The 15,220-nt window shown below is 44.6% G+C and overlaps 1 protein-coding gene across 12 annotated transcripts in view, besides 1 other annotated feature; it reads left to right on the forward strand.

The window, feature by feature from the left end:
- PDE8B (phosphodiesterase 8B) overlaps positions 1–15,220 on the forward strand; it is a 341,542-nt gene that overhangs the window by 84,889 nt on the left and 241,433 nt on the right. For 10 of the 12 annotated variants that reach the window (NM_001349750.3, NM_001376069.1, NM_001376062.1 and 7 more), the window contains exon 1: positions 8,701–8,883. The exons of the other annotated variants lie outside the window; for them this stretch is intronic. In NM_001349750.3, the coding sequence (NP_001336679.1) occupies positions 8,848–8,883 (36 nt within the window). In that variant the 5' untranslated portion in view covers positions 8,701–8,847. Of the gene's footprint in view, positions 1–8,700; positions 8,884–15,220 lie in introns of those variants that run through there. 12 annotated transcript variants of the gene reach the window in all.
- Positions 969–1,470: an enhancer, noted in NCBI's record as "H3K4me1 hESC enhancer chr5:76468397-76468898 (GRCh37/hg19 assembly coordinates)". NCBI's record gives its function as "activates a minimal SCP1, AML or CMV promoter by ChIP-STARR-seq in naive H9 embryonic stem cells {active_cell/tissue: H9 hESC(naive)}" and the evidence as "EXISTENCE:reporter gene assay evidence [ECO:0000049][PMID:30033119]".

Here is a 15,220-nt window from a genome sequence, read left to right on the forward strand (position 1 = left end):
GCAAGAGATGGGTTTTGTGTCCAAGTCCCTTCAGGAAACAGGTGAGGGCTTATTTACACAGGTGTGGGCAGGGTTAAAAAATGGTGCAGTGTCTGTGGGCTGGTGAGAGCCAGGAAGCTGTTTCCACTCCCTAGGCAGGTGGTAATGGGGCAGGGGATGAAGCCAACAATGGAACTTGGAAAGACTTCTGGGTTGCCGCGGAGGGATGGAGGTCCAGCCCTGTGCTCGTGCCTTTCATTGGCTGAACCTGACTGACTGGAAGCCAGAGGGCCAGGGACCCATTGATGAATTCCCCACAGGTCAGACTCCTAGGGCACAGGATGAGGGGAGGAAGGATGGAGATGATCTGGAGGGGCAGACAGAGCCTATCCAGCACAATCCTTTCTAGCTTTAATATTTCTGTGATGCCAAAACAACCCAAACTACAGTCAGCCTTCATTTGACAAGTATATTCTAAACACCCAACTTTTTCTCAGCAATTTATTTATTAAAAAAAGAAAGGGAGTCGATTGGATGGATAGATGAATGCGTGGATGGGGAAGAAGCCTCTGACTGGGAAAATTCATAAAATAATAACTCAACTAGATTGCAAGCTTGGCAAACTCAGGGACTGGGCTGGGTTTGTTCATTGTTGACTCCTCAGTGGCCAGCACTGTGCCTGAACTTTAGTAGGCCCACAATAAACATTTGTCTGAATAACCTGACTGATGAAACATCAAGAGCACCAAACAACATAAAATATGCAATTGGGAGTCTTGGGACAGGATAAGTCAAAGTTGGGGTAAGGAGCTAACATGCTTGCACCTAGGAGAAGCAGACAATGACGGTGTTTGTTAATTCTGCTTCTAGTAACTTTTATGCCAAAGCTTCTAAGCACTTCTCAGGGAACAAAGAACATCTGATGGTGATGGAGAGATAAAGGACAGTCTGTCCCTCAATCATAACTAGTCACTTAAAAGAGCAACATTAGAACACTTATATCCCAACCTCAATTAATTCATCCATTTATTTATCCAGTGAAAATTTATTGAGTGCTGATTTTGTATTTGGAAATTCAGAAATAAGACAGAAACAGCCTCAGCCTTCAAGGAGCTTAGTCTGGTTGGAACTAAAGATAAGACATTAGGAAATACCAGTACCAGTGCTGACTAGGGGGAGCACAGGCTGCTGAGGGAGCAACAGGAAACCTGGGACAGGCAGTGGGTGTCGGAGTAGGTAAGTTGAGCATGGAAGGACTTTTCCACTTGTTTACTTGTTTCTGGCTTCCATCCCTCCACCAGCCATTCACCCCTCCACCATCATCACCCAAACAGTATGTAAGCAAATGGTTTGTAATGCATATTTCTTTGATTTGGATGCATGTTACACCAGAGTGCCATAACCCAGCCAATAAACACATATATAGGGTAGAGTCTCATCAGCTAATCAGTGAATGCATGTAGAGGTGGTACCATCAGCCAATCAGTGAACACACTTGGAGGGTATGCTCCTTCCTCCAGAGTTTTTGGCAGAGAAAGAGAACAAGAGGTCAGAAGAGCACAAAGTGGGTGTCTGGGTTGGAAGGAGGAGATGACAGGTACAGGAATAGAGGCTGGAGATCTTGTAGACAAATCTGACTGCTGAATATTTTGGAGGATTAGTACTATTTATCTTCAACTCTTTGCAAACAAATGGAAAGTATGTGAGGAGGTTTATGTGTGCTTGTTTGGCTTTTTTGGCCTCTAGCAACTGTTGGGTACAAGATCTCAGAAAGTTACTGATCTGCATGGTCTATATTAACACTGATTCATCTGACTTAAGAAGGTGGTTGTTGGCTGATTTTTAAATATTGGCAATTTTGTTACAAAATTGCTTCATTCTCAGAGGTTTTGTTAATCAGGATATTCATGTATTTAACTTGAGGATTATGACTGGTAATGGGAGGAAAAAGCAATTTGGGGAGAAGAAACAGAAGGGAAGATAAAGAATAGCAAGTGAGTCAAAATGGAAGGGCGAATATTTCCTAATTTATCTATATTGCCCTCTTTTTTTAATGTGAAGCCTACTAGAGTTGTGAGAATTTGCTGAAAATACATTTTAATTGTTAGTTACATTTGGGAAATTGAAGTGCTTTTTAATTTACTCCCTTTCTCCCCCCATCTCATTTTTCAAAGGAAAGAAAAATGCTTCTAGCTCTAGAAAGTGTAGCGGAGTTAAGTGTATGTGTGTCTGGGGCGGGGGTGGTGGTGCGTGGCATGCGTTTTATTTTCTATGAGAACATTACTTCTGTTAGGGAATAACTCTCCATTTGCAGTCTTTAAGGCATTTTGACTTTTGATGAATTTCTTTACTATTAGCACACTCTGTCCTTGGCCTGGAAGAAGTTATGCTGGGACCAACCACTGGCCTGAGAGCTGATTCTCTTACCTTCTGGCCATCTGCTTAAGTCTCCTTTGTCCTACTCTCTGTTCAGCCCTTGAAGGTCAGTAGTCTGTTTTGAAGCTTGGTCTGCAGGTCTCCTTCTCAGAGCTTCCTCTCTTACCTATATATTGATGCTGCATGAATTTTTAGCTGTCACCCAAATACTTCCCTTCACATGTAGACCTGTGTTTCTTCTTACCTATTAGGTATCCTTCCTGGGTGTCAACACACTCAAAACTTCTCCCTCTCAGTGTTTGTTCTTGCCCACCCTGTCTCTGTTTTTATGGGAGGTACCAGCATCCCCACTCACAGCCACTGAGTCAGTCACCCACTCACATCCATGTATATGATCCCTTACCAAGTCCTAGTGTATTCCTGAATGCCTTTCCTATTCTTTCCTTTTTTTTCCATCCCCAAAGCCACTGCTCTCATCAGCTCTTTCTGGGTTATTATTGTTATTAATTATCTCTCTCTCCTCCACTGGTCTTCACTATATGCTTCCCTCAACCACCAGCTTTTTATTTATACTGTACACATCTCCATGACTATTCCTTGTGTCAAATCTTTCAGGAGCTCTCCGTTTTCTAGCTCTTCGTGTCAGTGAACAAGTCGTTGAAACAGCTTCATTCTCTCTGAGCAGGTTTTCCTCCTATCGCATGGGCCTCAGCTCCCTGGGCTCTGCTGGTATCTCCTCCGCTGCGTGACCTTGAAGAGTTGGCAGACCCAGAGTATGGTTCTCCACCCTCTTCTCCTTTCTGATGGCACCCTCCTCCCCACCACCTTAGGTGACCTCATCCAACCCCACAGCTCACAGTAGCATCTATACACTAATGACTCTCAAATTTATGGCTCTAGCCCTGACCTGTCTACTGAGCTCACACATAGATCCAGCTGCCTCTTTGACATCTTCACTCTAATAGAGATTCTTATTTCACAAGGCCCAAGCAGAACTCTTGATTTCCCACCCATTCTCTTCCTGATCCTGTCCCATGTCTCAGAGAATGGTACTACTGCCCACCCATTAGCTCAGGTCAAAAACCTAAGGGTTATCTTGTTTTTTTCCTTCTCCTTACTCCGCTCCCCACATCCAACCCATCACAGGTCCTGTCAACCTTGCATTCAAAATTCATGCATCCTGAACCTGACCCTCTCTATCCATCTCCCCTGCCTTCTGCCTAGTAACCCCCATCTCTTATGTGGATGGCTCTGACATCCTCCTGCCCTAGCAGTTTCCACCCTTCATCCCTAGAATTGATTCTCCACACAGGGACCAGAGGGATTTTCAGAAAGCAAATTATATTGTGTTTCTTCTCTGCTTAAAATTCTCCCAAGGCCTCCTCCCTGGCCTGGACTGTTGTCACTTCCTTGAACTCACCAAGCTTTTTCCTGCCTTAAGGATTTTGCATTTGCAATTCCCTTCCCTGGAATCCTATTCTCCCCAGATCTTTGCATTCCCAGCTCCCTTGGGATGATTCATGTGCCAGTTTAAACATCCCCTCCCAGGGAAGCCTTCTCAGACTTCCCAAACTAAAGTGGACTCTGCCTCAGCTTCTCTCTATTACAGTAAGTTGTTTTATTATCTTCAGATCATGATACAATGATCATTTTCTTTTCTTGTTAATTGTCTCTCTTCCTCCACTAGAATGTAAGCATCATGACAAGTATGGATTCATCTTACAAATTTATCTTACAGATCTATCCTCAGCACCTAAAATAATTCTTGGCATATAGTAGTTGCTCAAAAATATTTGTTGAGTGAATGAATGAATATATAATTGCATAAATTTGCCTCTGTGATAAAATACCTCACCACCGATTTATATATATGCATGTATATAAATGTGTGTATATCTATATATATAGATACGCACATACATATATATGTTAGCTTGTTAGCATCATCAACATCTTCAATCTTTGAAGAAGAAAGACTGGAAACCTGTTCAAGGGAACCTAAATGGTGCATCCCATTTGTTTTAACCTCATCAGTGAAACCAGAATGGGGTTATCAGTAGATAACTGCTGCTCTTCCAGCCCTGAGTGGTCGGGCTTCTATTTGTGTCCTCTTAGAAAACTATTTTCTTCTTTTCCCATATCTTTGCTTGTTGAGTTATACATCGGAAGCAGGTAGATTCCACTGCACGTCCAGGGTGACCAGAAACCGACTAGCCACCAGCCACGCGAAAGCCACCTCACTCCCACTCGTATTCCAAACAACTAGACACGCAGCACCGTAGGCAAAGCTGTGAATGGGGTGAAGTTGGTTTTGTTGCCCTTTTCCATCACCCTAGCGCTGTCTACCCTTCCCAGGGAAGCAGTGTAGGAAGAAGAGAGTGATCAACAGAGTCTTATGAAGGTTTTAGAGGCACAAAGAGTTACTGCAAAATAGAAACATTTACAGTTTTTAAACTTAAGGATAGAGCAATGCCGAAGCAATTTAAAAAAACATTTTAAGGACATTTCAAGCCCTGTCAAATGTGGGTGGAGGAGATATTCATGGGCATGAGCAGGAGGAGGGTGGATTCTTTGGCACATCTCAGTTGGATGATGTCATATTGACTACTACCTACTCGCCCAGGTTAGTCCAGAGGGAGAGGACACGGGCCCACACTGAGCCTGTTTCCCTACTGGCGGTAAGGATGCAAAGGGACAGACAGAGAGCAGTGATGCAATAATGGAAGTGGTGGCTGGTTGATATGGAGAGCAAGGGAGAAGAAGGAAAGCCAGATGGCCATGGTTTGAATTTGGAGAGTTGTTAGTAGCATGAACCACTAGGAATCAGATTTGGAAGGGAGATGATGCTTTATGGTTCAGAAGCTTTCGTTGCGTGATATTGATGGAACTCATGCTTGGAGTTGTCCAGGAGGCCATGGGGAGCATGAGAGCAGAGCTTCACTATGCGATTTTAGATACCCCAGCCCCACCTCCAGCTAGACTTGGAATTCTGTGCCTTTGGTTTCTTTTCTCTTTTCCTTCTTTCCTTCCTTCCCTTTGCTTCAGTTCCCTTTCCTTCTCTTTCTTCCTCCTGTCCCTTCTCTTTCTTTCTTCTTCCTTTTTCTCTCTCCCTTCTTCTTTTTTCCTCTTTTAAAATCTTCTACCACTCCACAGTCTCTTCAAGGTGCATGGTAGGTGATAAATATCCAGTGGGTTGAGTGTTGGGCTCTGTTTCGCTGTATGATGGCAGAAGTGGAGGAAAAAAAACCATGTTTAAACATGAGGCATCCAAAGACACTTAAAACCTAACAAATACAGTATCCCCCCCTTATCCGCAAGGGATATGTTCCAGGATTCCCAGTGGCTGCCTGGAACCACAGATAGTAATGAACCCTGTGTACACTATGTTTTTTCCTATACATACGTACCTATGATAAAGTTTAATTTGTAAATTAGGCACAGTAAGAGACTGATGATAATAAGTAATAACAAAATAAAACAATCATAACAATAGACTGTAATAAAAGTTATGTGAATGTGGTCTCTAGCTCTCAAAATATCTTAGCGTACTGTAGGTCTTAGCGACCTCAACATACAATTATTTTTCTTTCCTTATTAAGTCAAGAACTTTTATCTTTTCACTTAAAGGAAGCGCATTACAGCTTCTCTTTGGTATATAGAATGGCCAGCATCACTGCTCTTGCACTTTGGGGCCATTATTAAATAAAATAAGGGTGCCTTGAACACCAGCACTGGAATACCACAACAGTAAAACTGACAGCCAAGGTGTCTACTCAGTGACTCACGGGGGATGTGGTGGAGGTAGTGGATATAGCATGGAGACACTAGACAAAGGGACGATTCACGTTCTGGGCAGGACGGAAGCAGGACACCTCTAGATGTTATCAGAATGGCATGCAATTTACAACTTATCAATGGTTTGTTCTGGAATTTTTCAATTTAATATTTTTGGACCACTGTTGACTGTGGGTCACTGAATTGCAGAAACTTAAACTGTGGATAAGTGGGGACTACTGTATGTGCAAACCATCAGAACTCAGGCTAGTGGTTTTAAGATACTGTCAATTTTTATGCAATATCTCAGGAAAAAATAGACAACCTCCCAGTTGCCACAGACATGTACTGTAAGCAGACGTCCTCCTAGTACTTCTTAACTGGCTCTTCTGGAAAATTCTCACTCTCTCAGAAGTGAATAGTATGGCTTTTCTTTTTCTTTTATAGATAGAAGAGGAATTCAGAGGATTTGGTGCCTTTATCCTTCCTCATCATCTCTTTGTTGTTTTTTTCTTTTTGTTTTCCATTTAACTTATTTATTTTTCTTTCAGAAAACATTTATTTTTAACCTGGGTCAATGTACCCTGAGTTTTTCAAACTGTCCTTTAATCTGTTGGGTTGTTTTTGCATCAGACTTTATTAAAGTTATTCTTTTGCCTTGCTTTACCTTCCACAAATCTCAGCCTGCACTTAATGCTTTACTTTCTGATTTCGTTGCTGTTCTGCTTTTCCTTGTCTACCCAGGCCTAAAAAGACTATGAGTGTGAAATAATGATAGATCATGCTGTTAATTTAAATCACCTTGGCCCTTCTACCTAACCCCCTTTGCCTCACTTTTCCTTCTGTGGAAGGACAAAGTATATTCGTTTGCTATTGCTACATAACAAAGTACAAATTCAGTGGTTTACAATAACACATATTTATTATTTCACAGTTTCTGTGGGTCAGAGCCTGGGCATGGCTTTACTAGATCCTCTGTTTTAAGATTACTCTGAAAGCGGCAATCAATATCTCAGCTGGGGCTGCAGTTGCATCTCAAGGCTCAGTTAGGGAAGGGTTCACTTTCAGGCTCTCCTGATTTTTGGCAGAATTTACCTCCTTTCAGTTTGTTGGACCGAGGGCCCTTGAACAAAGGCACCCTCAGTTCCCTGCCGGGTGGGCCTCCCCAGTATGGCTGCATGTTTTATCAAAGCCAGCAAGAGAAAGCCTCTACTAGCAAAACTGTATAACTTAATCTATGAAGTGTCATTTGGTCACCTTTGCCATGTTCCATAGGTGGGCAGCAAGTCAAGTCACAAGTTCCATCCACACTCAAGGGGAGGGGACAACACAAGGGCATGGACACCAGGCAATGGGGATCATTGGGAGTCATCTTGAAGTTTGTCCACACATGGAGGAATGCTTTTGTGAAAAAATGCTTGGGCTCCTAGAAAAACGTGGCGAAGGCCATATTCATACTGCATTCATGCCTTTTTGTAGGCCTTTATGACTAATGTCAAAAATAATAATTTTTCCTCGTTTTATTTCTAAAAATGACTTATTTTTCTTTTCTGCCATTAGAAATCTCATCAGCCTTTCTGGATGAGAAAGTCAGCAGGAACAGATTGTTGTTGGTCTTGGTTTTGGCTGGACTGACTCAGCACTGTGGGCAGCTGAGAAGGAAAAGGCCTTGCAAATGCTCTCTAGACCTTAGTTCAAAATCCCTCCACCCCAGAGGAGCCAGGTATGGGCCAGGCATGGTAATAGCTGCAAGCAAGATGCCAGGACCATTTAAGGCTGAGGCATTTAATTAGGTACAATGTATTACTTCCTGAAAGTGTATGAAAGCTTCATAGTGTCTGCTTAGACATTTAGTGATAGCAGCTACCTACCCAGATTGGAGGGGATTTGGGTGGGGGGCGGCTCTAGAAGCTTAGCTGCACCTTTGGTTTGATCCGTGTTTGACTCATGTTTGTAAATTGTCCCTACAATTAAGGCTGAGGGATAACTTCAGCCCCTAATAGATTTTTCTCAAGGTTTTTTCTCCTTATGTTGCTGAGGCTGGTCTCGAATTCCTGGCCTCGAGAGATCCTCCCGCCTTGGCCTCTCAAAGTGTCAGGATTACAGGCCTGAGCCACCGCGCCCAGGAGATGTTATTTTCACATTCATTCTTCTACTTGGAGGAAAACCTGTCTTTATTACATATGATGTGTTATATATGTATAGGGACCAATATCTCTAACTTGAAAATCTCTTTAAAATTATAGTGTATATGATTGTGAGTTGAGGGCTGCAGGCAAATCTGATCTTTCAGCGTTTTCCTGGGGGCAAAGGCCCAACGAGAGGAAAGTGGAGACCTGTAAAGGGGGTGTTGGGAATCCGAATCCTGAGTCCCAAGAAAGGCTCCAGGTTTGGCAGCTCCAGCGAGGCTGGACTTCCCTCGAGGGGCCAGGAAGGTGTTGCCCAGAGCGGAGCAGCTCAGCGGGCTCAAAGTCTTGGCTCCACACCCCGGGAGGGGCGCTAGGACCCAGGCACCCGCCGGCCCGGGGACGCGTCTGGAAAGTGAAGGCGCGGAGGCTCAGGCTCGCTGCCAGAGTCCCACGGAGCAACCAGAGCCTTCACGTGGGCACGAGGCCCGGGGAGTGGGGTGCAGGGTGCGCCAGGCCGGTGCCCTCTGTGCGGGGCTAAGGCGCCAGGCACGGGCACCACCAGGGCGCCCAGGAGCCGCCCGCCGCCGGCATGGACCAGCTGTACTGCCCACCGAGCGCGTGCCAGGTGAGCCCCCAGCGCGGGGGACCGCGCAGCCCTCGGCCGCCCCCTCACACCTGGGTACCCGGCCGCTGGCACAAGCCCAGAGCCGGCTTCAGGGCCCCCTTTCAGACACCCAGGTGCTAGGGTGGCTTTTTTTCTTTTCTTTTCGCCCTTAGTCCCTGCGTGTCCTAGTGCCAACTACCTCCTTCCTTTCCAGGCGGGAAGCACCTCGAGCGTCTAGTGTAACCGTCAGGTTTATTATTCCCAATAATAATTGACCACAGACAGCCGCCGTTCGCGTCCACCTGGCGCTTCTCAGCAGGAGCTGGACCTGTTTCTCCGTCGGGCCGGCTCCTCGGGCTGCTGTTGCGCCTGGTGTTTTCCACGCTTCCCCGGCGCGGGACGGTGGGGCCCCTGCATTCCTCCTCGTGCTTCCAGTGGCTGCAAAGCTGCCTCCCCTTCTGAGTAGTGAGTCGCCGGCAGCCCCAGCGTGGGGTGTGTACACGTGTGTGTGTGTGTGTGTGTGTGTGTGTGTGTGTTTGCGCGCGCACCTCAGTGCCTAGCTCCAGCGCTCGGGACTCTGCAATGGGGCACCCACCCCTACCCCTACCCCTACCCCAACCCCCACCCCCACCACCATCCCCACCCTCACCCTTGCACTAAGTTCTAGGGACAACGCTAGCTGGGTGAATAGACGGAGCGTGGACTAAACCACCCGCCTCATCCCCTGTGGGAAGGGATGTTTGGAGGTGGAGCAAAGCAAAGGAAGAGCTGGAACGTGTGTACAAAGAAGGGTCCCACGCTGCGGGGTCGCAGGAAAGTGCCCGGGAGAACAGTCTGTGGTAGGGAGGGACGCTTAGTGCAAGGGGGAAGCTGCGCAGGCGGCGCTGCCACTCTGAACTTGGGGGCGTTCCGCTAGGCGTTCAGAGTGTCCTCTGAAACGCACCTAGTTACCAGGATCAAAGTAGCTGTGCTCCTAAGGACTGTTGGGAGAGGTGAGGCTTGCAGCAGCCTTTACAAAAGCTTGGCTAGAAGCCTTGAACCGTCCACAGGCTCCTCTATACCCTCAAGACTAGCTGTGCCCATCCATTCTGCTTCTGGCTCAATCTGACACCAGTTTACCCGTCCCCAGGTTGCCAGCTCCAGAAAAACACTGCTGGCGGCGAGGTGTGAGTTACTAGGACTGTAAGACCTCCGCAGTTGAGTGGTGGTTATTTGCCCAGGCTGCCTTCCATGGACGGTCGGTCGGGAGGTCAGGGTGGCTGGGGGCATGCTGGCTCTGATAGTTACAAGTGCTTCTGTCTGAACCTGAAGTTGGACGTGCAGTGCTAACCTAGAAGAGAGAGTTCCTCTAAACTGTGTGTTGGGAGACAATCAACGAAAACATTTACACAAGGTCCCCAGGGGAGGCGAGGGCCAGAGGACCCGCCCTCTCGGATTTTATAACCCAGCAGTTCGCATTGCCAGTTCTACTTGACTGCCCTCTTGACCTTGAATAAGTTATTTTAACTTTGTAGAGGTTCGGTTTTCCAAGAAGCAAAAACAGAAGAATGACAATTCATCAGCAGTGGCAAGAGCATGGATTGGAGGCCAGGGAGTTGGATTCCAAGCTCAGTGGTACCACTGACCAGTTGTGAAACTCAGGGCAAGAGGTACAACCTGTCCTGGCCTCAGCTGCCAGGAAGGCTCAGAGCCTTTAATTCTGGATTCCACTCTGGCAGTAATCTGCCAGACTTAGCCTGTGAATGCTCACTAGTTCTTTGCAGTCTTGCTACAGATTGTACTTGGTTCCAAAGAGCGTTTATGGACGGAAGAGATACTAGATCAGTGGGTGAATTGAATTTTAATTCCAATCTGTTCATAGGGCTACACAAATCATTCAGGCTTAAAGATAGGTGGAAGTAAGCCTGACTGGTTTAGTTAATGCTTAGAATGCACTGGGAAGGATCTCACATAGAAAGTCCTGGTAAAGTTTGAGCTTGGTTATATAATCCTGGAAGACATCCTTTCTGTGCATTTGAAAGATTCCAGCCACAACCTCCCTGTTACAGGCATGAGTAGAGGGGAAGCCCCACACTAACCCCTCAGTGGAAGACAGCCCAGTCTTGCAGAGCTCATGGAGGCCGCTTACATCATATCTGATAAACAATTGACTTACCTGGGAATGACTCAGTTAATGTCAACTTCTCAGAAAAGCAGCTTATCAGTTTGGTAATGAAATAGTTAAATTGTCTTTAAAAGCTGTATTAAATATTGGATGCCTAATTGCCAGAGCTTATTGAGATAAGCACTGCTTTTTTTTTTTTTTACTTTATATACACATCTTATTTTTATTTATGGAGAATCAGTTAATAAACACATTTTAAATTCAATATATTATGTATTTGCTTTTTTGATAACACTGCTCTTTAGCTTTTTAATTTAGCTTTAGGAAGGGAAATAAGCAGGATGACAATTTTTTTTACTAGATAATTATTATAAGAGATTAAAAAGCCACAAAGAACCTTGTTTCTTCAGGTTTTCAGAGATGAATATCAACATAATGGTGAAAATTTTTTAAGTACTTAGGCGCTAGGCATTGGACTAAGCTCTTTATGTAAACACTATCATGTAATCCTATCAACACCTTCTGAAGATGTGCTATTATTATTATTATTATTATTATTAATTATTTTGAGACAGAGTCTTGCTCTGTTGTCCAGGCTGTAGTACAGTGGTTTGATCTCGGCTCACTGCAACCTCTGCCTCCCAAGTTCAAGTGGTTCTCCTGCCTTAGCCTCCCGAGTAGTTGGGGCTACAGGTGCGCACCACCAGGCTTGGCTAATTTTTGTATTTTCAGTAGAGACAGGGTTTCACCATGTTGGTCAGGCTGGTCTCGAACTCCTGACCTCATGATCCACCCGCCTCGGCCTCCCAAAGTGCTGGGATTACAGGCATGAGCCACTGTGCCTGGGCGCTACTATTTCTTTAAATTTTACAAATGGGAGAGCTGAGACTTCTCATCTTAGATGACACAGCTAGTAGGTGGTGGAGCTGAACCAGCCAGCTGGGTGTATTTACAATGATCCAAGCGACATGCAAGAAGGAAGAAAAGGGGAGGGCAAAAAGTGCCTACTACGTGTCAGATGCTTTATACACCTCAGTGCATAGAGATTTAAAAATCTTTTATGAGTGATAATTTTCTTTTCTTTTTCTACTTGGACTTTCTTGCTTTCATCAACATGATCTGGGTGTCTTTTCATGTCAGCAAAGAGATTGACTCCTTTATTTTTAACTCTGTAAGCTTGAGAGCAGATGGGTAAACCGTAATTTATTTAACCAATCCCTGTGAATGGGCATTTGGATTATTTCTCAGTTTTCACAGTCACATACAGTACTTGTGAAAGATCACACAGTGGATCCATTTATTTATATATTTCTGCATACCTGTTTAGATATTTCTGGTGAATCTGTTCCTAGGGGTGGAATTATTATGTGAAAGATCATGGTTACTATTTAAATACATACTTTTTTTTTTTAAAAAAAAACAGAATCTCCCTCTGTTGTCCAGGCTGGAGGGGAGTAGTGCATTATTGGCTCACTGCAGGCTTGACCTCCCCATCCAAGCAGTCCTCCTGCCTTAGCATCCGGATTAGCTGGGACTATAGGCGTGCGCCACCATGCCCAGCTAATTTTTTAATTATTGTAGAGACAGAGTCTCACTGTGTTGCCCCAGCTGGTCTCAAACTCCTAAGTTCAAGTGATCCTCCCACTTCAGCCTCCCAAAGTACTGGGATTACAGGTGTGAGCCACCGTGCTGGCCAGATATATACTTTTAAATACATACTGCTAACTTGCCTTCCCTAAATGAAATGTAATTTCTGATTTGGGGTCCAATTCTTCCACTAACATGTTTTTGGAGTTTTGATAAATCATTTAATCTGAGAGGGTCTCAGAAGTATTGTCTATAAACTATGGATGGTAGGACTTGTTGGTTGCCAAGGTCTTTTCCAACCGTAAGGGTCTGCAAATATGTGCAGTTAGAGGTCACACAAATGAAACTGTCCATATTTGACCATTTTTTGCCTACAAAAACAACAACTTAGTATGATTTTATCTAATATCACATGAATTCCTAAAATATCTGTTTTTGGTACCCTGGCTTTTCTGAGGTAGCTTTATGTGTGAGAAGTGGCTAGGCTATGCTGCAGCCACAAATCAACCCTGAAACCTCAGTAGCTTAAAAAATAGAAAGAGGCTGGGCATGATGGCTCACACCTATAATCCCAGCACTTTAGGGGGCTGAGGCAGGAGGATTGCTTGAGGCCAGAAGTTTAAGACCAGCTTAGGCAACATAGTGAGACCCTTCTTTAAATTTTTCAAAATAAAAATAAAAATAAAATAATAAAATAAAAATGAAAAATAAAATATAAAGATTTATTTGTCACTCACATTTTATGTCCAAAGCAGGTTAGCAGAGTGCCCTGCTCCACAGAGGCACTCAGGGCACCAGGCTATCAGAGCTCTGCCATCTTGTAACTGCACTATCTAGAACATGCAGTCTTGATGGTCCTATGGCAGGGGAGGAAACAGAGACAGTGGAGAATCAACACCTGCTTGTAAATGCCTTGGCTCAGAAATGAAGCATATTTCTTGTATTTACAGTCTTTTGGTAAGAACTAGTCACACAGACCTCAACCTGATGCGTGGAGACAAGGAAATGCTTTTCAGTGTGTCCAGAAAGAGAAAATGGTAAATACATAGCACTCTGTATTAGTTTGCTAGAGCTGCCATAATAAAGTACTAAAGACTGATAGCTCACACAACCGAGATTGACTTCTTTATAGTTCTGGAGGCTAAAAGCCTCAGAACTATAAGGTATCAGCAGCATTGGTTAATTCTGAGGACCTCTCTTCTTGGCTTGTAGACGGTCATCTTTTCCCTCTGTCTTCATATGGTCTTCCCTCTGTGTGTCTATGCCCTAATCTCTTCTTACAAAGACACCAGTCATATTGGATTAGGAGCCATGTTAATGACCTCATTTAAAATTAATTCCTCTTTAAAGACTCTATCTCCAAATACAGTTACATTCTGAGGTACTGGGAGTTAGGACTTCAACCTAAGAATTGTGTTGAACACAATTCAGCCCATAACACATTGTCTCTGTCAGACAGCACATCCTGAGATGTAGTCATGCTGTTTTCATTGGAGGGGGCCTGTAGGTTACTGAGCCATGTTATGGAGTCATCTTCCTCTTCACCTCACATCCATCTCCTCCTGTCCCCCCACCCCCTGCCATTTCCTAACCCAAAACTGTTATTTTTCTGAATTCCCTGGGTAATATTTAAAGCGGCCCAATGTTACTACTTACATCAAGCAAATTTTATTGATGGCATTGACTGTAATGTGAAGCCGAGTGGCTGTGGGTTAGAGATGGGAAACCTAGGGGTTAGGAGCACCAACTCTGAAGCAGACTGCCTGGGTGCTAATCCCAGCTCCATTGCTTGCCAGTAGTATTCCTCATCTGTCAAATGGGAATAGTAATACTTCCCTTGCAGGGTTATTGTCCTGATTAAATGAGATAATCTATGTAAAGTGGTTGGTACAGACTAGGTGTCAAAAATGGTGGCTATTATTATTTGCAGCTTCAGAAGCTCATGGAGCCCTTCACACCCAGTGTCCTGCATTCCAGCCTGTGTCCCAGCATCACAGACAACCCAGAGGCTCTGCCACACAAGCTCCCAGGGCTTCCCTGGTGTGCCCAGGAAGCATGTATTTGTTAGTATGGCAGTAATTGCATTACCACTTTAAAGCTCCAACAGCCTACGCATATTAAAGTCATAGGTTCCTAATTAGATCGTACAGCCAAAAGGAACAGAAGAGACTATCCCCTTAAATAGCCCCTTAAAATTATTATCCTTGTTACAGTTAAGACAATGAGAATTGGCAGTTAAATTGATTTGGAAAAGCAGCATTTCAGTTTTTCTAAGAGGCACCCTCTTCCTCTCCCATTTTAATGACCCTGGAATCAGGATGTGTTAATACCTGAGAGTTAGGCCTGCAACCTTTTCCCGTTGACCTGCCTGGGAAGATGACTGCAGACTTACCTTCTCATGCCATCTTTTTCTTGGAAACACAGCAGTTGGATTGCTGTGTACCTGAGGTGAATTATCTGTCTTGATTATTGCAAAACTATTGATTCCTGAGACTGCATTAGGATTGGAAGAGCTATGAGTTGCCCAGTGGCCTTGGGCCTCCATGATTGGAGCAAGAAAGAATCCAGAAGGAAACCAAAGCAGTGGTTTCTCCTGGGTAGGGTGAACCACACCCTTCATCTTTGGCAACTATGTGCACCATAGTGCGCAGAGGGGAGGCCAAGAGT

Source organism: Homo sapiens, chromosome 5, assembly GCF_000001405.40.
Source record: "Homo sapiens chromosome 5, GRCh38.p14 Primary Assembly".
Classification (NCBI taxonomy): Eukaryota; Metazoa; Chordata; class Mammalia; order Primates; family Hominidae; genus Homo; species Homo sapiens.